The sequence below is a fragment of the Homo sapiens genome, chromosome 7, assembly GCF_000001405.40.
Source record: "Homo sapiens chromosome 7, GRCh38.p14 Primary Assembly".
Taxonomy (NCBI): Eukaryota; Metazoa; Chordata; class Mammalia; order Primates; family Hominidae; genus Homo; species Homo sapiens.
In genome coordinates, this window is record NC_000007.14 from 46949280 (window position 1) to 46975374 (window position 26095).

A 26095-nucleotide genomic window follows, 5' to 3' on the forward strand; every position below is an offset into this window, starting at 1 on the left:
CATGAGCTTCCAGGACCCCAAATATGAGGTGACACTAGTTTCTACCCACCTGCAACCAAGATTCTGTATTCCTGCTGCTTGGGTTTTAAACCAGAATAGTGTGTTCACTGAAATTCTCACTGTGCTTAATCCAACCTCACCTCCAGCAGAGGGAGGGAGACTGCCTCTCTGACTGCCTGTGGCACACTCTGCCCTTCGACACCCACCTCGTGAGTCCTCTGCCTCTTCTGCTCATAGGCTTGCTTCTGAAATGAGTTCCTTTGCCCCTGCAGCTTTCAACAGCAGCCCCTTTCTGCAGCAGGATGAGAACACTGAGATATCCTCATGTTCGGCCCATCCCAGGATTCTGCTGGGGGCACAGCTGCACAGAATTCTATCTACTTTGTCATTTCACTCTGTGAATAAAGGTCAATAAAGTACAAATGCCTTGCCTCAGTGTCCATGGAACAGTTCAACAGCTGCGCCCAGAGACAGCCTGTTCTCAGCAGAGCTTCAAGTGGGGCCCTATCTGCCTTCTTGGAACAAAGTGGCCCTGAGTTTTGATTCAGGAATCAGAGTAGTATTTAAATGCACATGTGTAGGTTTATATTAACACATAAGTGCATAGAGCTTGAAAATGGTAGTCCATTTATTTGAGCATTATGTTATTCTTCAGTGATTTTCTAACACTGACAAACACTTTTATTTGACATATTTAAAAGAGAATGTCCTTTATTTCCAGAGAAGAATGGGTGAATGTGGCTGGAAGATAGAAGAGGCACCTGCTGGAGTTTAAAGCATTTGCCATCCCGAGTTTACTACGTGACACTCCGTTTTTCTTTGGACGTTTTAAGGTTGCACTTGCAAAAAGTAATGGCAGGATACATCCATGTAATCAGTGCCAAAGGACACCCAGGAACTGGAGAAACTGCCGCGTCTTTGTTCTATTTTCTTTTTTCCACGCATTGACAAAATTTTAAAACTCATATTAAATAATGTGGACCTTGACTGTACAGTGACTGCATAAATATCAAAGCTAAACCACCAACATCCCAGCTCCTAACACCAAGAAAATTGTGCATCTCCATTTTGACCAATGTGTGCTTACAAGGAAAAAATGTTCTCACTGAAGTCAGAATATACTAGAGAAGATATTGGGGGTATTCAAGAATGTGACCAAATAGTCGCTATAGCTTAAGTATTATCCTCTGTGTAGTAACAAAGTCAAAACCAGGTGTCTAGGTGCATGTGTGTGTGCAGAGAGGAGAGACAGAGATTACACACTGGAACACACATCTGCACCCTTCTATTTCCCTCAGAGCAATGTGATGGCATGTTCATCTGAACAAATTAATATTTCTACTATAATTGATTTGTTTGGTGGAAACACCAAGTTCACCTGCTAGTGGTGACTAAAAAGATGGAAAGACTTGAAGGAAGAGCAAAGGGTGAGATTGCATGTGCGGCATCTAAGGGGCATCTACACTGGAGCCAGCAGACCTGGCTCAGAACCCAAACTTTCATTCATTGCTCAAATCACGCACCTATCTAAAAGAAAAAGGATAAGAGTCAGCATTTTGCTCATTCACAGGCTCATTCACATGCTGGCACGCAGTAAGCACACCAGAAATGGTAGCTATTATTTTGTAAAGAGGGTAAGTTATGTGGAAAAGCTATGTGAAAAATAAGGCATCGTATAAGCAAATAGCAGGGTGTGACCAACATCAAAGCAGGAGGTGAGAAGGAAAAGACTTCCCAGGAAGATGCAAGTGCCACTCCATCTGAGTGTCGGGGACAAATCAAGAAATGTAAAGATGTTCCGTTATGCATCATATTTTGGCCCCCTTCTGTTGCCATCCCAGGTCACTTTTGATTAAACTTGGTTCAGATTTTCTTGCAAAAGTATCTAAGGTCTTCAAGCATTGCTTGGCTCAGCATCCATACTTGGGCTAGTTAGTGTCCAGGTACTTGAGACCTTCTGCTAACCAGCTTCTCCACACCACTTTGGCAAGATTGAGGCTTTGTGGGCCATCTCCCTACATACATTACAAACTACAAATGGAGGTTTTATTTTTTAGTTTCTGCCAATCACACACAAAACATTTAATACATATTCGTGTAAAGGATGATGCAGTGAATGACAAGGGCTTACTACATCACAAACACAAAATTAATTACTTTTTCCTTGAATCACAGTAGCATATATAGAAACTCATAGGCTGGGCGTGGTGGCTCACGCCTGTAATCCCAGCACTTTGAGAGGCCAAGGTGGGCGGATCACCTGGGGTCAGGAGTTTGAGACCAGTATGGCCAACTTGGTGAAACCCCACCTCTACTAAAAATACAAAAATTAGCCGGGCATCCCAGCTACTTGGGAGGCTGAGGCAGGAAAATTGCTTGAACCTGAGAGGGGGAAGTTGCAGTGAGCCAAGATCATGCCATTGCACTCCAGCCTGGGCGACAGAGCAAGACTCCATCACAAAAAAAAAAATAAGAAAGGAAAGAAGGAAGGAAGGAAGGGAGGGAGGGAGGGAGGGAAAGAAAAAGAAAGAAGGAAAGAAGGAAGGAAGAAAGAAGAAAGAAAGAAAGAAAGAAAGAAAGAAAGAAAGAAAGAAAGAAAGAAAGAAAGAAGAAAAGGAAGGAAGGAAGGAAGGAAGGAAGGAAGGAAGGAAGGAAGGAAGGAAGGAAGGAAGAGAAAAGAAAAAAGAAAAGAAAAGAAAAGGAAAGGAAAGGAAAGGAAAGGAAAGAAAGAAACACATGAGCATGTTCGTGTTTTTTGGCACAGTCAGGTTGGTACAAATGACATTTTTTTTTTTTTTTTCTGAGACAGAGTCTCAGTCTGTCACCCAGGCTGTAGTGCAGTGGTGTGATCTCAGTTCACTGCAACCTTCGCCTCCCAGGCTGAAGCAATTCTCCTGCCTCAGCCTCCGGAGTAACTGGGATTACAGGCACCTGCCACCATGCCCAGCTAATTTTTGTATTTTTTAGTAAAGATGGGGTTTCACCATCTTGGCCGGGCTGATCTCAATCTCATGACCTCAGGTGATCTACCCCCCTCAGTCTCCCAAAATGCTAGGATTCCGGGCATGAGCCACCATGCCCAGCCTACAAATGACTTGTTTTTAATGTCTTCATATTTTATGCTAAGAACTTTGCTGATTCCTGAAATCTGAGGAAACAAGACATTAGATTTTAAATTCTATCTGGGCATACAGGAGTACTTAAGTTTTTCAGAGATATGGATGTTTTGTAGTAAAAATCTATTCACTCCCTCTACTTAGTTAGACCCTCAATCATCACTGCTTAACCAAAACTGCAACCACACATGTGGTTTCTTGTGGGTCTTTTGCATGTTTCTTGGAGTGAGCAAGAGTTCAGCCATGATGTTCCTGTGTTTAATCAGAACTATATGCATTCTCTGCATCATCTCAACTATCTTCCTTTTACGCCATTCTTGCCGTAGTGACCAGTTCCAACTTGTACTTGGGCACAGCTTCTCCACAGCTGATCCTATTCATAAATGATTATTCTAGCAGTCTGAAGACCTGGGCTCATTCCCAGCTCTACTCCCCATGGGCAATGTGAACAAAGATGGCAGCCACTGCCCCACTAGGCCTCACCTGCCACTGCAGGGTCCGAGACAGAAGGAATCAGCACTTATGGACCGTCTCAGTACACTCATTGTACATTCATTGTACATAAGTTCATCTCTCTGCACATAATAAGATTGTGGACATGATTTACTGGCCTATGCTCAGCATCAAAGAATGGCCCAGGTGTGGCATGAAATAGACCTGCATCTCTCCAACCTGGCTACTTTTCTCCGGCCATGGCTGACATCTCCCTAGGTCCCTGGAGGAAACAAGGGACAATGAAGTCATTGGCATATGAACATTATGTCCTCATTATTTCTCCTATGTCTTGACTCTCTAAGCCACATGCTCTTCTTTTTTTTTTCCTTTAAGCACATGTTAATAACATTATGCCATGATTTACTAATACAGTCTTCATGGAATTGACACTGAAAAATGTTTTGGAAAAACTAGAAAGCTAATTTTAGAATGATAAAGGAACTACTTGTCCATTTAAGATGCATCCTTTCATTGAGTTGCCTTTATGAACAAACTTAGACTCATAAAGTAGAAAAAGATCTTAAAACATTGGAGCATGACAACCTAGGGTTAAAAATTTGATTCCAGCAATATTCCTAACTTGCTTAAATGAAGGTTACCTGAGGCAAAGCCTGGAGAAAACACAGTTAGGTATCACTATGAGCCTTCATTATCTACTCGGGCCACATTTTTAGTCCCCTCCTCCCACCTGTATGGCACAGAATACCACATGGCACTATCTCTTAAAAGATATGATCTGGAAGGAGGTTATTTCATTCTAGAAGCAATGGGAACCATTCTGTGTCTCTCAGACAGATAGCAAACTTACATGCACAGCATTCTATACATACAAGAACACATCAAAAGGAACACATCAAAAGGATCACATCTGGTTTGCCCTTTAATTGTCACCATATCCTAATGTAAGAAGACCCAGAGGAATATAAACACATTCAACACAAGCTGGTTCTATCACAGATTATTAAAAGTTAGAAATCTCTTTGATGTTATATGCATATAGACAGATATAGCTTGGTGTCAAGTCACTATCACATCTCCTTTTTAAATTCTCTGCATGACAATTACTATATGTTAATAGTCTGTATGAGTGTGTGTGTGTGTGTGTGTGTTAGTATGTTTATTATTAATCTCTTTAACAAGTCTGTATTTCATGAGAATACAGATCAACTGAGAAACAAGTTGATCGTCAAGTTCATTTGAGGTATAAATGATTATGGGATCTAAGGAGGAATTTCATGCTCTGATCTATACCTCCCAGTTATATCTGCAGACCCAGATTGATGCAGCACCCAGGGCAGTCCCTGGTGTAGAGCAAGCGTTTCATAAACAAAGGCCTGCTGATGTAGCCAGTAGGTTACCAGAGTTTGCAAACCCTTCCTTGGGCTTCATAATAATTTATGTCTCAAATTAACTTGAGGGTTGACTTGTTGCTTTATCCCAGAAAATTCACATTAGTTTTTTGCTCAGTTTTTCTGGAAGGAAGTCAAATTTGAAACTTCAAAGACGGAGCTCCCTTGACCCTGTCGAGACAGAGAGAGAAAAATCATTCAAGCATTGGTGTGCCACATGACAGCATTGTTCAAAGCAGAGAGATAAAAATTCGGCTGAGGAATTTTATCTACACTTGCTATAAATGGGCTTATAAATGTAGAGAAAACTGTAGCGCAGGAGCACTCAGCTATGATAAGAAGTAAAGAGGGGCAGGAAAGAGGGCATATTCACTTCAATTTTTAGGCATCAAAATGAGTCCTAATATCTAGGGCTATCTGGAGGCCAAGTCTAAATTCTGTGTTTCCTTCAGTTGAGCTAATTTCCTCACCACTAATTAAAATAGTTGTCTGACAGCTTCCATGTTGCCCATAAAACTCCCAATTTTCTGTGTTTGTTGTTCAGCCATGCCTCAGCTAACCTCCATTTACAAAACACTGAGGCAAGCTTCCAAGGAACGCAGGACAAAATGCCCACTACCTTTTCCTCTGTTATCACTAGGATACTGTAATAGTCAAGCCCTAGCACAGCAGTGGAGTGAGATTTGAAGCTAGAGATAACATTAACACCTTTTTTTTTGTTTCTTTTGATCTTAAGAAAGAAAAACAAAAACAAAAACAAACAAACAAAAAAACAGGATTTTAATGGAGGGGGAGAGTAATGGGCCTGATTCTTCTCATCTATTCCTAATTCTCTTTGCTATTATCTTTGATGGTAAAGGCAGTTCCTTTCTCAGCATCATTTCTGACATCTTACTCCATACCTAGTGAGGCCAAAACCTGGTGCATGCAGATTAAGATTGGGAGAAGGGCCACATGCAGGGCTGGAATCCAGGCCCTTTTAGTCAAATGCCACATTATTTTCCAAATTGTTGCATCTTACCAGAAGTTCCTGTGATCCATGTTGGCACTGCTGCCCATATTAACTTTTGCCAATCAAGTCAGCATAAAACTTTATCTCATGGTGTTTGATTCACATATCTGTGATCACTAGGAAGTAGACCAACTTTTCATTTTTATATTGGCCATTCATGTTTTCGTCCTCAGTGAAGTGTTATTTGTGGTTTTTGTCCACTTTTTTGAGTGGTTTGTCTTTTGCTCTTTATTTTTACAGACAGATGATTGATAGATAGATAGATGATAGATAGATAGATGCTGATCACATTGTAGTATATGTAATATGTGTTACAAATATTTTCTCCACATTTTTAGCTTTTTTTTTTTTTTTTTTTACTTTTTCTAAGACAGTCTGTGATAACCAGATGTTTGTAATCTCAACATAGTGGGCTCATCAATCACGTCTTTTGTGATTTAGCGCTTTTTGTGTCTTGCTTATGAAATCCTTCTTAACCCTAAGGTCAGAATGATTTTCATCTACAGTGCTTCTACCAATTTTAAAGCTTTGCTTCTGACATTTAAATTCCTAATCCATCTGGACTTAATTTTTCTACAGTGAGAGGTAGAAACTGATTTAATTAATTCCATGTAGAAAGACATTTTCTTAGCTGCATACATTATGTAGCTCTTCCTTTAGACAATGAACTGCCATAGCATATCATCATTTATCAACATTTCAAATGGTTTTCAGTCTCTTTCTATATTCTACACTATTTCGATATAGTCTCTTTCTATATTCTTCACTATTTCTGTTATAAAAATAAAATAATTGCTAGAGTAACATAACTTGATCAACCTCAGTAGTGTCTGCTTTTGTTTCTTTATAACTGAGAGTTCTTTAAAGATAGGAGCCTGTGGTTCACCAGGTAGCACCTCCCCTGATTGACTCCGCATCTCACTTCACTGCTCTCAGTTTTCCCCTGCAAAACAGTTGCATTGTACTCAGTAACTTACAAGTTTTCTTCTTAGCTCAATTGTCTCTTATTACAAATGAATTCAATCTAATAATCCTGTAATTGAAAGCCAAATTAGACTTATTAACTCAGAACTTCCATTCCCAGGATTTGCCAGGTGGTTGGGTGTTAATGGTTACTATTATTGTATGTTATTTACTGGATGTGTAACATTCACAACTTAAATTTTTTTATAAAAATGATTCACTATTCATAATATATACTCTGACCACATTTAAAAGGTTTGGAGACTCTGCATACATTTACTAGAATTTAAAACACAAAAAAGGTAACATACACCAAAATTCATATTGATATAGCTACCATATGGTAACAAACTGACAATGCCCATAATAATCATTACATTCAGTTTGACTATTCTAGAAGCAAAGACAAAACATTATGGACTCTCCAACTTAATTGTTTGATAAAATTTAGCTGGCAAACTTCTGAGCAAAGATCAAAGATGTAGTGATAAATTGCTGAAGTGAGGGTTGTCATGAAAAAAAAATAAAGCTTACAAAATCTAAAAACATACTCTTATTAATACAACACGCTTTCAATTAAACACCAAAGTATTATCATTTTACAGATGAAACAACTGAGGATAAGAGAGACCAATTACAATTACTTAAAATTATTCACCTTCCAAGTGCCCGAGCAAGGTCTCAAACATAGATTCACTGAGATCTTAAAATTTCAATCTCTTTCCACTATGCTTATAATAAATTCAAAGTTCAGTTTAATATTAGGACCTTATCCCAGGACATTGGCCAGCCTGTGAGCAATGCCGGTGATAGCATTTATTCAAAAATGTAGTGACTTTTCCTTGTATTAACTTTATGTAAAACACTCATAGAAACGATGCAAGTACGTTGCTTATGTTAGGGGAATGAGGGAGACTGAGCAAATGAAACTCAAAGTTCATAAAAATGTGCCCCAGAGAAGATGGAAGAATAGATGGTTGACCTGTTCCTGCCTTTATCTCTCTCAAATATCAGTCTCCTCAACCAGGTCTCTGATAGGAATTGGAAAGCAACCCATCCAAAATTGGTCTTCCTTGGCAAGCTGAAGTAATAAACACCATTAAATAAATTTATTGTGCGCTGTTGCAACATGCTGTAACCTGCATGTGTGATAACAGAAGTGCTGTGTGGTCCAGTAATTTTGGTTAATGTTTTCATCAGAAAAGGGCAGGTACCTTCCAGTTTCGTCTCATGAGTTACTGTTAATAAGTTTTAACTTCAGTAAACATTAAGCTTTGAATTGTAAAAAAATCTCCACTAAATACCGTGATTATAGTCGGTCTTTACCTAACACCCTGTAGAAGACCCGCTGCTGAGGCTCATTAAGGTCCAAATGAAGCCAGAGTGACCCTACCGTCTTCTTCATCTTCCTCATCAATGAGGTACTAAAACCCTCTTCCAGCCCTGGACTTTGTTTCCATGGGTGAATTTCCTGGACACGTCGAACTGTTTTAACCTCAGGTGTTTACTGGCAATTTTATGTTGCACATCTTCCCAATTCTTTTAGGCTTTTTAATTTATGTGACCTTGTGTAAATGCTCACTGGTGGCACAACATTCCTATAAATCAAAATTATCCACAAGCTGTACAAAAAAAAAATTTCCCTCTTAAAAATTAGAAATAAAAATGCTAAGAAAGATTTAGAAATGGCCTTGGATCTAAATTTGGAGTGGACTTTCTTTTCAAAATGTGCCTTGATTTAGAATTTTTATATTTTCAGTCTGTCAGTGAGTAATTTACACACGTCCCTTTGTTCTAGGCATTTTAGCAGGTTTTATAGGAATCGTAGGAATAATAACTGGGCTCTTGGCTGAATCCTTTCATTTTTTAAAAAATTTCTTTCCTTTTCCTGGAATATTCTTTCCTTCTCTTGCCCGCTGAAATCAGGAGCTTTGGCTACCTCTATTTTTACCCTCTTTTAGAAATCTTCTCCAATTCTTCAGACAGAAATGGGGATCTTATAAGTTTTTAAGACAGCTGTGGTCTTATAGTAGCAATCTGGACTTTTCATTTATTCAACAAAAATCACCAGTATGAAAAAATTACATATTGCTTGCCTGCCATGTACCAGGCACTGCTCTAAGCCTAAGGGGAGATTAGTAAGAAGACAGAGCAACTCCTCAATCTGATGGAAGCTACATTGGAGTTCCAACAAACAAACAATAAACACATCTATAACATCACACCTTATACCTACAAGAAGTAAAGCAGGGGTAGGCTGTATACTCAGAAAGATCAGGGATGAGGCCTCATAAAGTAAAGTTTTTTGTTTGTTTGTTTCTTTGTTTGTTTGTTTTTGGGACAGAATTTCACTCTTGTTGCCCAGGCTGGAGTGCAATGGCATGATCTCAGCTCACTGCAACTTCCGCCTCCCAGGTTCAAGCAATTCTCCTGCCTCAGCCTCCCTAGCAGCCGGGATTACTGGCACCAGCCACTATACCTCACTAATATTTTGTATTTCTAGTAGAGACCTGGGTTTCACCATGTTGGCCTGGCTGGTCTCGAACTCCTGATCTCAGATGATATATCCACCTCTGCCTCCCAAAGTGCTGGGATTACAGGTGTGAGCCACCATGCCTGGCCAAAGTGAAGTTTAAACAGACACTTCTGTCACCCTCTAGGAAAGATTGTCCCAGGAAGAGGAAAGAACAAATTCAGAGTGTCTAAGGTGAACTGTACATAGCCTGTTTCAAGGAACAGCAGCAAGAGGCCAGCAGGGCTGGAGCTTAAGGAGTGAAGGGAAATGTGGAAGGAGCCTGTCTGGGGAGTGAATCTGAGGTCAGTCACGCAGGATCCTGTAGAACACGGTCAGCACTTTGGATTCTCTCCTAAACCGTCAGATGGTGTCAAGCAGGGGAGTGACATGATCTAACTTACATGGTAAAAGCATCCATATGGCCACTTCGTGGCTACAGCATTTAGCATTGTAGCCCCTCCTTCATCTTTACTTACTCTCTCATATTATTTCTGTACAATTTTTTCTCTCTGTTTGTAATACAAAACAATGGTGTTATGTGAAGTAGAAATCTATAGGAATTTTTGTTTTGTTTGTTTTGTTTTGTTTTGTTTTGTTTTGTTTTGTTTTGTTTTTGCAGATGGACTCTCTCTATATTGCCCAGGCTGGTCTCAAACTCTTGGCTCAAGTGATCCTCCCACCTCAGCTTCTCAAGTAGCTGGGATTACAGACAAGCACTACCAGATGAATTAGAAATCTAAAAACATAAGCAGAAACACTCTAAGAGGCAGAGAGGAGTTAGAAGAGTTTTTTTTGTTTTGTTTTGTTTTGTTTTCTTTTGTTTTGTTTTGTTTTGTTTGGCAGTAAGCGACATAAAGATTATAATTCAAAAGGTCCAGGGTAATGGCCCAAAGGAATTCACAGATTCTTCATTAAAAACCCTGAATGCCAGTGGTGATGAGGCCTTTGGAAATGCAACTCCATTTGTACTAAGCGTAATCCCTAATTGGATTAAAATAATCATTTACCACCTGACCAGTGAAGGGAAGAGTAAATCTTCTTTAGAGGAATACATTATCTGAAGACTTTCCAATTTTAAATTATACAATAAGTTGCATTCAAAAAAATACTATTTAGTCTGAAAGATAGGATTACATAAGCTATAGTTGAGGACAAAAATAGATAATACAAACAGACCCATGGACCAACCAGATGTGGAAGTTAGCTGGCCAAAATATTAAAATACTTGTGCTTAATGTGCTCAAAAAAATGATAAACAAAATTAGCCAAAAAAAATGGAAAATTAATCAAATGAGAATTGTAATCTTTAAAAATAACCAAATAACTTTAGGGAAAAAAAAACAAGAAGACATGATATCTGAAATAAGAACTTATAAGATAGATTTAACAGCAGATGAACAAAACAGAAATAGGGTTACATATGAGTGAAAAACAATCAGAAACTATCCAATATCCAGTAGAAAATATCTAATCTAAAGCATAGAGAAAAAAAGTGTAAATACGAAGGAGAATGTTAAAGAAATATGAAACTTAATGAAAAAATGTAACCTAGTGTGGGAGGCAGCCTTTAAAATGGGTCTCAATTATCTATACCTCCTGCTACACACACACCCTTTTGTGATCACATCCCTTTGATGCGGGCTGCACCTAGTTATAATTTCTAATAAGTAGAATACTTGAAAAGAAATGATATTTTTTAAGATAAAGCAATTGAGGCACAAAGAATTTATGTAACTTACCACAGGTCATCCATATAACAATGGGAGAGCCAAAATTTAAGCCAGGTTTGGTTTAAGAGTCCATTTTCATAGCACCTCTCCTAAGATGTTTTTCATGATTAGAAACAGTCATAAACTGGATGTGGAAGAGAGCTTTATTGACTTGATACAAAGTCTTCAGTTAGACTTACAGCACACATCAAAACTGAGTGTGACATTCCAGAAGAATAACCATTTAATCACAACTATCACAGCTAATTTTTTGATGGTGCTCAGTTGCTAGCAATTGCAGTAAAGCAATACATAAAAGCAAAGAACACCTGATTTTATTATGAGATGATATGGATATTTATCTAGAAGTTCAAGGGAATTTCTAGGTGATGGCATTGAAAATAGCAGAGTAAGAAACTGAAAAAAAATGACTCTTAAAAAGTAACAAAAATACTGGCAAAAGTGTCAGTCAAATTTTAGTAACTTTGGAAACTAACTAAAACTTCAGAAACCAGAGGAACCCTTATTTAAGAAACATGGATCTTATTTCAGTAAAAACATTGAGCTTTGTGATAATTTAACTTCTCCTACTCTCAGCCTCCACTCCCCAGCTTAGCAGTAGCTTTGAAAATTACAGTCTGCATTCACAGCACCAGTACTAGAGAGGGCAGAATTAATTTCAGTCACAAATGATTGTAATTGTTGGCCAATCATGTGGCTCAGGTTTGTAATCCTAGCACTCTGGAGAACTAGGTGGGAGGATCTCTCGTGTCTGGGAAGTCAAGACTGCAATGAGCTATGTTTGTGTCTCGGCACTCTAGCCTGGGTGACCAGAGTGAAACCACGTCTCAAAATAAAATAAGATAAAATAAATTATAATTGTCTGGTAGCTTCCTGGAAAACTAGCACAAAAGGCTCAACTTGATCTTGCCTAACTCAGAGCTCACCCAGTGCTGTAACTGTTACTTAAGGAATATTTTTTCAAAATTTTACCAAAAAAAAAACTTATGTTTTGGTTGTTTTTCCTAAGGCAATGGATAAAAATTGAGAAAAAAAACAATATTTTAAAAATTTGGAAGTAAGGGTTGGGGAATAAAATGGTTTGAAAAATAAGAGCTTTGAAAAGCTCTATATATTTTATATACATATATATAAATCTAGAAGGCCACATACATGCCTAGAGCTGTGCACTTGCCCAGGAGAGACCTGAGAAGACTCTAATCTGTCATCTCTGCTGACCTTTGGGCTGTAAAAGCAGGAAGTTAAGCCTAAAGCATGGTTGTAGTCTTCTTGAGTACGGGCTGAGGGCATGCCCACTGTACACATAAAGCCCCTCTGCAAAGAATATGATAAGTTTTTGGTTTAGTTTTTGTTTTGGCATCAAAATAACTTTTGCTCAATAATTAGTTGACCACTAAGCTACTGTAACAGAGACTTTAGTGGTCACACACAACAAAGACACAGTCTATACAAAATTACTTCAGAGAAGTCATGAAACAAACAAGCAGAAAAATAATAATTATAATAAGCAGCAACAACAAATTCTTATGAAAAAAAACAAGGAACCTGATTGTCAGAATTTCCTCCTTATATTATACAAAATATGCTGGTTTTTAACAAAATATTACAAGACATGCAAGGAAATAAGAAACATAAACAGAAAAACATCTATTAATATACATTGCCCCTCAAAGGACATGAATAACCACTTTTCAAAAAAAGATATACAAGCAGCCAACAAATGTGAAAAAATGCTCAACATTACCAATCATGAGAGAGATGAAAATCAAAACCACAATGAAATACCATCTGACACCAATCAGAATGGCTATTATTAAAAAGTCAAAAAATGGCCAGGAATGGTGGCTCACACCTGTAATCCCAGCACTTTGGGAGGCCAAGGCAGGCGGATCATGAGGTCAGGAGATCGAGACCATCCTGGCTAACACAGTGAAACCCCGTCTCTACTAAAAATACAAAAAAATTAGCCAAGCATGGTGGCGGGCACCTGTAGTCCCAGCTACTCGTGAGGCTGAGGCAGGAGAATGGCGTGAACCCGGGAGGCGGAGCTTGCAGTGAGCTGAGATTGCGCCACTGCACTCCAGCCTGGGTGACAGAGTAAGACTATCAAAAAAAAAAAAAAAGGTCAAAAAATAACAGATATTGACAAGGTTTGGGAAAAAAGAGAGTGCTTATTAGTTGAAAAGATAATGCTACACTGCTGGTGGGAATGCAAATTAGTTCAGCCCCTGTAGAGTTTTCAAAAATCTCTGAGGAGATTTCTCAAAGAACTAAAAATGAATTACCATTCACTATCAATTCCATTACCGGGTATATATCTGAAGGAAAATAAATTGTTCTACCAAAAAGACACCTGCACTTGTATGTTCATCACAGCACTGTTCGCAATAGCAAAAACACACAATCAACCCAGGTGCCCATCAACGGTGGACTGGATAAAGAAAGTGTACATATATATCATGGAATACTAGGCAGACATAAAAATAATGAAATCATGTCCTTTGTAGCAAGGTGGATGCAGCTGGAAGCCATTATCCTAAGCAAATTAACACAGAAACAGAAAACCAAATAATACATGTTCTCACTTATAAATGGGAACTAAACTTTGAGTACACAAGGACACAATGATGAGAACAAAAAACACTGGAGATTCCAAAAGTAGGGAGGGAAGGGGGAAGGTGGCAAGGATTGAAAAATTACCCATCAGGTACTATGTTCACTACTTGGGTGATAGGATCACTAAAAGCCCAAGCCTCAGTGTCATGCAATTTACCCATCACAAACCTGCACATGTACCTCCTCAGTCTAGAAAAAAATTAATAGAAATTGTCTCTGAGGAAGACCAGAGAGTGAATTTACTAGACAAAGACTTAAAGTCAGCTAATTTAAATATGTTCAATGTACTAAAAAGAAAATATGTCTGAAAACATGTCTAAAAACCTACACTATAAAATCCTTTCTCACCAAAAAGGAGTTATATCAATAAGGAGATATAAATATTACAGAAATTTCTATATTTTACAAATAGAAAGAGATAGCAATTATAAAAAGGACCAGACTACAGATCTTAAGAATAACTGAAAAGGAAAATTCACTAGAGGGGTTCAACAGCAGATAAGAGAAGACAAAAAGAACCAGTAAATTTGGAGATAGGGCAAAGAAAATTTTCTAGTCTGGAGAACAGAAAAAAAAATTGAACAGAGCCTAAAGGACTTGTAGAAAACCACTAAGCATACCAACATATGCATAATGGAAGTTCCAGAATCAAAGAAAAGAATAAAAGGTGCAACAAGAATACTTAAAAAAAATTGTCAAAAAAAATTCCTAAATTTGATGAAATGCACTAATCTACACATCCAAGGAGCTTAAAAACTATAGGTAGTACCAAATGAAGAAGATCCACACATCATAAACTGACAAAAACCAAAGACAGAAATGACACAGCACATACAAGGGATTCTCCCAAAATTAACAGCTGATTTCTCATTTGAAAACTATGAAGACCAGAAGATAATAGGATGACATATTCAAAGTGCTGTGGGGAAAAAAAAAAAACTGTCAGGTAAGCTTGTTATATTCAGAAAAAAAAAACTATCCTTCAAAAATTAAAGAGAAATAAAGACATTTCCAGAATAATAAAATACAATAAAGTTCATTGCTAGCAGAACTGTATGAAAAGAAACACTAATGGGAGAGAGAAAGAAATGGCACACAGTGGGAGGCATGAGTCTGTGGACATTTTTGGAATGTTTTGGTTCTGTTTTGTTTTAAAACTGGGCAATACTGTGTTCAGTTCAAGCAGAGAAGAAAAATATATATCAATGCTTTTCAATAAAATACAGTGACTACCTGTAAAAAAAAAAAAAAGGAAAAAGAAACATTAAAGGACATTCTTTAGGATGAAATGAAAGGATAGCAGACATTAACTTAAAGTCACACAAAGAAGTGATAAACACTGGCAAAGATCACTATGAAAAATCAAACTATGTCCTATTTAAAACAAACTCATTTTAGACACAATAGGTTAAAAGTACAATGATAGAAAAAGATATTTCATACAATTACCAAAAGAGGTAACATAGACATTAGACATAATTTTCCAGAGTGACAAAGAAAAATATTTTATAATGGAAAAAACTGATTCATCAAGAAGATATAATGATTATAAACATATATAAACCAAATAGCAATACGCTACTATGCATGAAGCAAAACTAATGGAATTGAAGGGAGAAATAGTCATATAGTAATAGTTGGAGACTTCAATACACAACTCTCAATAATAGATAAAACAACCGGACAGAAGATCAATAAGAAGATAGAGCATTTAACAACACTATCAATCAACTGAACCTAACAGACATCTATGGAACACTCCACCAAGCAAAATCACATATGCATGCACATGGAACATTCTCTGGGATAGACTATATGTTACACCACAACACAAGTCTCACTAAATTTTAAAAGATTGAAATCACACAAAGCATCTTTTCTGACCAGAATAAAATGAAATTGGAAATCAATAACAGAAGGCAATATGGGATATTTTAAAATATTTGAAAATAAGATAATCCACCCCTAAATAATCAATGAACCAAAGAAGAAATCACAAGAAACTCATGGGATACAGTGAAGGCAGTACACAAAGGAAAATTTACATCTGTAAATGCCTACATTAAAAAGGTAAGATCTCAAATCACTAACCTAACCATTCACCTTAAAAAAGTAGAAAAAGAGCAGTAAACTAAGCCCAAAGGGAAAAAAAATCAATAAAATAATAAAGATGAGAGCAGAAATGAGCAAACTAAGTTGTTTGAAATCAATAAAGAAAATCAGTAAAAACAAAAGCTAGTTATCTGAAAAAAATCTACGAAATTGACAAAGCTTTAACTAGACTGATGAAAAATGAGAGACAGAAGAATCAAATTACTAAACCAGAAATGGAAATGGAGATTTTATTATAGACCTTATAAAAATAAAAGAGATTATAGGAGAATTCTATGAACAACTGAATGCCAAAAAATTCAATAACTTACATGAAATAAACAAATTTTTTAAACCATGCAAGTTACCAAAACAGACTGAAGAAGAAACAGAAAATCTGTTATTACAGCAGGTTGTTCGATTAGCAATAAAAAGAAAAAAAAAGAAAAGAAACGAAGAAAAAAAAAACAATCCAACAAAATAACAAAATAAATCTTAGGACCAGGTGGCTTCACTAGTGAATTCTACCAAATGTGTCAAGGACAAAATTAGCATCAATCCTTATTAAACAATTCCATAAAATAAAAAAGGAGGGATCATTTTTAGCTCACTTCATAAGGGCTTTATTACCCTGACACCAAAGTCAGACAAAGATATTATAAGAAAATCACAGTACAATATTTCCTATGAATATGATGTCTAAATCCTCAACAAAATACTAGCCAGTCGAATCCAGCAGCTTATTAAAAAGACTGTAGACTATGAAATGTATTATGCAGGGCCTTTTAGAGGACTAGAATCAATAGGATGTGGGTATATGTAGAAACAAATATTTATTTTTAAGGAATTTACTCACATAATTGTGAATCTAGCAAGTTCAAAATCTGCCCAATAGGCCCACCAGCTGGAGACTCGAGGTTAACATAACTTTGCAGCTCCAGTCCAAAGACATTCTGGAAGAAAAATTTCTTCTTCCTCATAAAATCTCAACCTTTTTTCTCTTATGGCCTTTACTTTATTAGGTGAGGCCCACACCATTATGGAAGGTAATCTTTACTCAAGTTTCTGATTTAAATATTATCTCAAGTAAAAAATACCTTCACATTAGCATCTATACCAGTGTTTGATCAAACATCTGGATACCATGACCTAGCCAAATCGACACCAAAAATTATTCACCATGATGACTAAGTGGGATTCAGCCTAGGAATGCAAGGATAGTTCAATACACAAAATGATCAGTCATTATAATATGAAATATTAATAGAATGAAGAAAAAGGATACCATCATCTCAACTGAGGCAAAAGTCATTTGACAAAATCTCACACCCCTACATGATAAAAAATACTTTAAAAATAAGAATAGAAAGAATCTTTCTCAACCTAATGAAGGGCATCTACTCAAAAATGTACAGCTAACATTATAATTAAGGGTGAAAGACCAAAAGCTTTCCCTCCTAATATCTGCAACTAGAGAATTTCTCCTCTTGCTCTTTCTATTGAACATTGCATGGAAATAATTCTAACCGGGCAAGAAAAAGAAATAGAAGACATCCAAATTGGAAAGAAAGAAGTAAAACTATCTCATTTTACAGATGATGAATTACTTATAAGAACAACTAACTTATACACAGTAAAAAACTATTAGAGGAAAGAAATGAGTTCAGCATACTTAAGAGAAACAAGAGTGACATGTAAAAGTTGTATTTCTAATCACTAGCAATGAACACTTTAAAAATAAAATTATAAAAATAAAATTATAAAATTAAAATAGCATCAAGATTAAAAAATACTTAAAAATGAATTTTTAAGCAGCTAAAATACTATTACACTGAAGACTATGAAACATTGATGAAAGAAAAAATAAGTAAAACCTAAGTAAATGGAAAGTTATCCATGTTCATAGGTTGAAAGATGGCAATATTCCCCAAGTTTATTTACTATCAAAATTCCAACAATTTATTGATGAAGAAATTGACTAACTCTTCCTAAAATTCACATGGAATTTCAAGGGACCTGAAATAACCAAATGATCTAGAAAAAACAATTTTGAGGACTCAAACCCATAGGTATAAATCTTTGTGACTTTGGGTTAGGAAATGGTTTCTTAAATAAGACAGCAAACATGCAAGCAAGTAAAGAAAAAAAAAGATAAATTGAACTTCATCAAAACTAAAAATTTATACATCAAAAGACACAATTAGGCAAGTGAAAAGGCAACTCACAGAATGGAAAAAAATGTTGGCAAATAAGTATCTTATAAGAGTCTAGTACCCAGAATATAAAAAGAACTGTTACAACTTAACAACAAAAAGACAAACACCTCAATTTTAAAGTGGCAAAGGACTTGAATATAAATGTTTCCAAAGAAGATGTACAAATAGCTGATTAAACTCCTGAAAGGATGCTAATCTTCACTAGCCATTAGTAAGATTCAAATTAAAATCACAACCAGATATTGCCTAACAGCCACAAGAGTGGCTGCAAAAAATATAAAATAATAAATGTTGGCAAGAATGTGATGAAATTGGAACACTCATATGTTTCTGGCGGGAAAGTAAAATGGTACAGTTTCTGTGGACAACAGTTTGGTAGTTCCTCAAAAAGTTAAATACAGAATTATCATATGACAAAGCAGATTCACTTCTAAGAGAATTGAAAACAAATGTTGAAACAAAAACCTGTACATGAACATTTATAGCAACATCATTCCTAGTAGTCAAAAAGTAGAAGGAATCTCCATGTCTGTTAACTGATGAAAGAATAAATAAGATGTAGTGTAGCCATACAATGGCTACATCATAAATGAATGAAGTACTGATACATGCTAAATGAACCATGAAAATGTTTTGCTAAGTAAAAGAACCCAGACACAAAATGGCACATATTATATGATTTCATTTATACGAGATGTTCAGAATAGACAAATCCATAAAAATAGAAAACATATTGGTGGTTTCCATGTACTGGGAGAGAGGGAAATAGGGAGGAATTGCTCAATGGGTATAGGGTTTCTTTTTGGGGTGATGAAAATATTCTAAAATTAGGTAATGGTGGTGATTATACAACATTGTGCATGTGCCAAAAGCACTAAACTGTACATTTCAAAATGGTTAGAATGGTGAAATTCTGTGAATTTTACCTGCATTTAAAAATTAATACATTGGTTGAAATGCATTGACTGGAAGAGCCAATTAACATATAGAGAAGATTTACAAATAAGATGCCTTGACTTAGTGAATATGAAAGTTTATTTATATGCTATATTAAATTTGTTAATTATATAAATGATATTAATTAGACAATATGAAGATGGTATAGAAATAGACAAATGTATCAATGACACACAAATAGACCCATGAAATAATGGGTTCTTGGTGCCCAATAGCAAAGGCATTACAAATCACACAAAGAGGAATTCCTTTATTAAACAGTGCTTGGGACAATCGGCTTTCCATAATGGAAACAATAAATTTGCAGCAATAACACCATACCTCAAAATTAGTTCCAGGTGTGTTACAGAAGACTAAATATCAAGAGAAAACACTTTTAAAGTCTTTGAAGAATATCTTCATAAAGTAAGAGCCAGAATTCTTAAATGAGACCCCAGAAGCAATAATAAGGGAAAAAGTCTCATTAAAAGAGCACAACACGTTATACCATAAATAGTTTAAAACTAAGCTTCAGACTTGTAGACTGAAGCTTAAGCTCTTAAGGGTTTAAAGCTCTAAAAATTTACCCAAGACAGAACAAAAATGAGCAACGTGGAGATTTCAGTCTCGCTAATTTAGCAGAGAAATGCTAATTAAATTATAGGAACTTTAATTTCTTAACTGTGAGATTGAAAATATTAACAAGTGTGACTATTAAGTCAGAATTCTTTCAACTTAATAGAAAATTAAAAGAAAATCGACTTAACAGCTGGAAAGGAAATGTCTTATAGAATTGGAAGTTTCAAGATAGTCCAAGCTTCAACTTCTTGATCTATTGGTTGTGGCTCCATTTTTCTCTGGTTTCCTCATTTGTATGTTGCTTTCATCTTAAGGCTGTCTCTCATACATTAGCTTGAACTACACACTGTATTTTCTTTAAGTCATTCTTCCTACTAACTTATTCATCTCACAACATCACGAGATCATTTCTATTACTGTACTTATTTCGCAGATGAGGGGCCTGATGTACCAAGAGGTTAACCATGCCTAAGGTTACTCAGCACGCAAGAGGCAGTTAGTTGTATTGCAGAACCCACACCCTTAAATGCCGTGGTGCATTGCATTTATAATTGATTAAAACTTAATAGAGCATTTTTCACATGACAAACACTGCCAGGAATCTGGGAGTCAATGCTTACCTAACCACAAGCCCTGCCCTTGTGCAACTTAACAAAATGGGGAGGAGGCCAAAAAGTGAAATCGTAATTAAAATACACTGTGATATGTGCTAAAGTCATAAAACAACAGAAAATATAACAGCTTCCTGGTAGAGAAACTAACTCACTCTTCGGTGACTGGCAATGCTTCCTGAATGAAAGAAACATCTACTTGACCTCCTCACAGTCTCCCTTTCTATAGTGCAAGCTCGACTAGACAGTTTTGACAATAGTGATATTAAGGCTCTGCTTGGTGCCATGCAATCTGCATTTGGGGTGCCAGCTAGCCACAGGACTCATCTGGAAAAAAACAACGGCCCAACCCTGAGAACTTTGGGATTCACGGGAAATTACAGTTCCCCTGATGATGCAGGACCGGTAAGACCCCAAAGTTCTTGACTTCCCCCAGGAAACAATTCAAGGGCTAGTGAGTGGTGTTAAACAGAAACTTTTATTGAAGCGGCAGTGTACAGGAGCAGCAGCGGTACTGCTCTTTACAAAGCAGGGCTACCCGCTAGGCAGGGTGCCCAGAATAGCAGCTCACAGAGAGTACAGCAGTCATATTTATACCCACTTTTAATTACATGCAAATTAAGGGATGATTTATGTAGAAATTTCTAGGGAAAGGGTGGTAACTTCTGGGTGTTGCTGTGGTAATGGTAAAGTGACATGGCACACTCGTGCGCATGTCTTATGGAAAGGTGCTTCTGCCCCAGCCTTGTTTTATCTAGTCCTCAATTTGGTCTCGTGTCCAGGGCCCATCTGGAGTTAACTCCCACGCCCTACCTCGCTATCACAAGAAGGAAAAAAGCTTACTTCCAGGGAAGCTGAGCTTTATTGCAGCCCTCCAAGTAAGACACCCAATCCTGCTCAAACAGCTCCTCCTTCTAGCTGTCTAATTATCGAATCAACTAAATTTAGTCTAATTGAACACTTCTAGGCAATTCTGCTTAATGTTTCACAGTGAATTGTATTTTGTGAGGTTTCACTTCAAACTTTACTTATTCTTGTGTCAAATTTTAATCTACAAAATTAGGAATATAGACTTTAATATGGTAACTCTACTACATCTCTCCAATAGCACTCACAAGAAATTGCTCTTCTGAATAATTCAAGAGGCTCTACTCTGGGGAATGCCCCATGCACTGCCCACTTTGTGGTTTTCCTGCTGTGTATTATTTGCTCAGTGTTTTCCAGGGTCTACTGAAGGAATTTAGTGGCCGCAAATATTCAGACAAGCAATACATATTTATCAGCAAACTAAGAAATAAAAATTCTCAGCAAGAGGAAAAGAGGAAATATTAATAATAACTTCCAGAAAAATACCAGAAACCATCAACCAGAAACAGTGCAATTTTTATATGGATGGAATATAAAATTCCTCAAGGGAAGGGATGGGTGTTATTCATCTTTGGGATGTCAGAAGTTGACCAGGTGCCTGCAGTAAAATAGATTTCTAATAAATTTTGGAGGCATAAATTAAATTAATTGGATAATTTTTTATTTATGCTATGAATTCAGAATTGGAAACATTTGCATAATATTTTAGATAGCATGTCCTAGGAATCACTGTCTACATTAATCCTGTTAACAAATAGCCTGAACAAGATTGCTGAAATATTACACTGGGGCAAGAGAAGGATGTAGTAAAGAGGACACAGATTTAAAACTGGGTAACTGTGTGATATCCTGGGTCCACTCCTTCTTGTTATGTTCAAACCCAGGAGAGGCACGACTGGCAGAGCCATCCAAACCAGGTTCTCCATGTGGACAGTCTGAGTATGGTTATACCTTGTGACCCAAGCCAAAACCAATGCTTAGCCAAAAAAGTGGAGCCAGGGAAATTCTAGGTAAGTTTGAAGGAAAGAAAAAATATTTTGGAGGAACTGTCCAATGATGGGAGCAAATGAACATCATTTTAGTATTAAGTTGAACTGAAAAAGACTACAGCCTTTTTATCAGTATTATTCTGTATCTATTTTGGAATCACAGAGAGTTGTTTGAACACACTTGACTTCAGACAAGTTGTCCCATTTCCTCAGTTTCTACCATGTGCAAAATGGGCTGATTACAGCCATTCTTCTGTAGGTGGTTGGGAAGATTAAATGCAATGAGATGCATATGTAAAAAATGCTTGGCTGACCATAAGTTATTGTAAAATATAATTCATTAGTTAAGGCCTGTAGCATTTCAGACCACTTTCTGCTACTATCAGTGGATATGACTTACTCCTTTGTTAGAGAGATTTTTAGTGTGAGTTTTCTTTCATTCCCAAATCCCATTTTCTGTAACTATGAGATATTTTTGTTTTTACCACTATTTTCAATTATAATGTGGATACCTGTTGTCATCTTTTTATAATGAAATTTTACTGGTCTACTTATGCAGTAAAGTCTATTTGATATTTTCCATTCACAGATCTTGTTCTAAGTTTGGGACATTTTTACACACTGAGGTTTACACTATGCTTTCATAGGGTGTTTGAAGTCATATTAATATTACCTGCAGTCATTTATGATTACTTTTAAAAAGGAAGGCGATTTGGCAGTTAACAAGGGACATTGGTGAAGAAAACTTTCTACACTGCTCAAAGAGGCTGAGTCAGTATCTGTGGCCCTTTTTCACCATAGATGTTTCGGTTTGTTTGAAAAAGTAGTTTGTATTAGCACAGTCCTCAGAAAAAAACTACAGTTTGTGGCAGACACTGCTATTGACTACAATGCTCCCTTCTTTACCAATAGGACCAGGATTTCACTCATCAACTGGCCTAGATTAAGGAGAAAGAAATCTACATTTCTGAACCTGGTAACGTCTGAGCATACTCATGGAAGAAAGAGCTGGCCTATGAGCGTGAGTCATTCAACAAATATTTCTGAGTTTTTACAGTGTGCTAGATACTCTTTACATGCTGAATGAGACAGCAAAACTAAGACTGCTCAGGATAATTGAGAAATTATCGCTTTCTTCCTGTAGGCATCCCCTGCTTTTCACTAACACTTTTTTCTTCTTGTTGGAAGGGTGGATATTATGGCTGGAGCTGCAGCAGCCATCATGCCAACATGAGGGAAAAGCTGATGGAATTGTGGAGACTTTGGCCTTGTGATTCAGCCCTGGATGAGTTGTCTCCACATTACTTATCATATAAGAGAAAAACCAATCTATATCTTTTGTTGAAAGCCATGATTATGTAGGTTTTATATATATATATATATATATATATATATATACAATTTTTTATTTTTAGAGGCTTTCCAGCAAAAAAAAAAAAAAAAACAGAAAGACCACTAAGCAAATTCTAAAAGAGCTGTAACACTAATGTAGGTATTATTTTTAATAAGCAGAACAAAAAATTCTGAAACTGATTTCTGTTTCTTTCACATACTTTTAGGAGCCTTTTATTTACATTGAATAAACATTGTGCCCTCCCTGCCTTATAATAATAACTGAGATGCAGGAAATTTGAAAAAGCCCATGTCTTTGAAAAGCAGGATAAAATATACATTAAGGAATAACAAAACAGAGATTTAGAAAAGAATTCCAGAGTATTTTATAATATACTTGTTGTATAAGTGAGTGCATTGAGACTCATAGGGATTGGATAACTTCAAATCAAACTGCCTCTTGGCAGCAGAACATAATGTAATTCAGTTTTGGTGACACCTACTTCAGTGCTATTTTCAAAAATCCACACAAACAACCTGAATTACAAAGAAAACGGCAAAAAGGAATTCAACTTATAAGTCTATGCCCTTTAGAATAAGTTTCGAGCATGCTATTTCTAAATAGTTATTTTGCTATTATTATGTGTTTCATTGTGCAAACAATTTGGAAAACACTGTAATAGATTTAACAGGTTTGCTTCCTTAAGACTCTTCAGAGCCCCCAATTTATGAAAGTACACAATAAATCTTGAAAAGAGAAATAGTGTACAGAATTTCTCAACTTATTTAGATTGTGGAACCTGTTTTACTTGGAGCATTTTAAGGAACTGGTGTTCTGAAGAATATACTCTAAAAAACATAAGAAGTTATTAATTAACTCAAACTGTTTGTGAAATAATTTAATATTTATATATGGCAAATAATACTAGAAGGTATCATTCCATGAATACTCTAAAAATTATAACAAAGTTCTTTATGATATTCAAGAAAACTTAAGTACTAAAAAAATTTTTTTAATCTAAATATTCTGGCCTGGTGCAATAGCTCACACCTGTAATCCCAGCAATTTGGGAGGCCGAGGTGGGTGGATCACTTGAGGCCAGACGTTCTAGACTGGCCTGGCTAACATGGTGAAATCCTGACTTTACCAAAAACACTTATATTTGTACCTAAATATATATATATATTTGTACTTAAATATATATATATTTTAAGTACAAAACCTACTTGAACAAAAAGGTTATGAAAATTTGAAATTTTCAAAAGAGAAAATGTGACTATTTCATTTTATACATGCTATATTACTATTTACTATTTCATAACATGGCCAAATACTTAGAAATGTTTAACTCACAATGTAATATAAAATACATCAATTTATATTACATTATATTAATGTTAAAATTTGAAAAGCCAGATAGATTTTAAAAACTCAAATTTTTACTAATTAATAATTTTGTTTCAGGACAAGGCAAAAAAAGCACAGAAGCATATTTTTACTGTGATGATTTTTATTTAACGCTCTACAACATTTTGTTATTTACTATGCAGTAGCCAATATATGATGATGTTAGTTCTCTATTTCTCAATGTGACATTAGAAGAATGTGTCTTATTTTAAGAACACTTAGCATGGTGGCAAAGTATTTTATGACTTCGCCACCATCATGTTGAATTTAGGTTTATTAAATGTCAGAAAAGCACAAGCCTTTTAAAAAAAAAAAAAGTGTGTTGAGTGTTTAGGTTTAAGGACTTCTTGTCCTGGGGCCCATAGACTCACTAACATGTCTCCATAAGATTCAAGAGTCTCCTGAAAGTGTATTTAAGGTTTTCTGGGATATGACATGGTTCTGGGAAGCTTTCATCATTGCCTAAAAAGGTAGAGACCAAGCAAGGGTTAGAAACCATTTACATGATTTACACAAGCAAAGATATAAATTCTGGCCTGGCACGTTGGCTCACGCCTGTAATTCCAGCACTTGGGAGGCCTAGATGGGTGGATCGCTTGAGGCCAGGAGTTCAAAACCAGCCTGGGCAACACGGTGCAACCCATCTCTACTAAAAATACAAAAATTACGCAGGCTTGGTGGTGTGCACCTGTAGTCCCAGCTACTCGGGAGGCTGAGGCACAAGAATCACTGGAACCCAGGAGGCGGAGGTTGCAGTGAGCCGAGATTGCACCGCTGTGCTCCAGCCTGGGCAACAGAGCAAGATTCTGTCTAAAAACAAAAAAAGTAAATTCAAAATACATAAGTGAACTTTCCTTTTGGTAGAAATGCCCTGCTCCCAAGAGAACATACCACATAACAATAAGAAAAAATATAGATATGTATATGTGTAGATGTGTATACAAACACAAGTTGCATAACAGAAATAACTTCCTTGATATGGCCTAGCACTGATATTGAGGCCAACACACTAATACACTAATACAAATTTTTGTTTCTGCAGTCTTCACCAAAACGTTTTCTTTTAGACATTGGTGTCTAACATCTTTTAGATATTGTAAGCTTTTCCCAAGATTTTGTACAAAAGAAAGAGACATTTAAACGTTAATTTGCAAAGTGAATGCTCAGCTGGCAATAAGACTTGGTCTTCAAGATAGTGACCTCTTGCGCATTAAAGAAAGAGTTATATCATGTCTAATATTCGTTAAAATCAAAAGTCATATTTTTTCAG

General features: G+C 36.3%; 1 long non-coding RNA gene across 1 annotated transcript; it reads left to right on the forward strand.

Moving 5' to 3' along the window:
* The first annotated feature begins 20382 nt into the window (after positions 1–20382).
* On the forward strand, positions 20383–24178 carry LOC105375267 (uncharacterized). Its single transcript, XR_927248.3, has 3 exons — positions 20383–20634; positions 22998–23106; positions 23274–24178. It is a non-coding gene; the product is annotated as an uncharacterized LOC105375267 (long non-coding RNA).
* The last annotated feature ends 1917 nt before the right edge of the window (positions 24179–26095 follow it).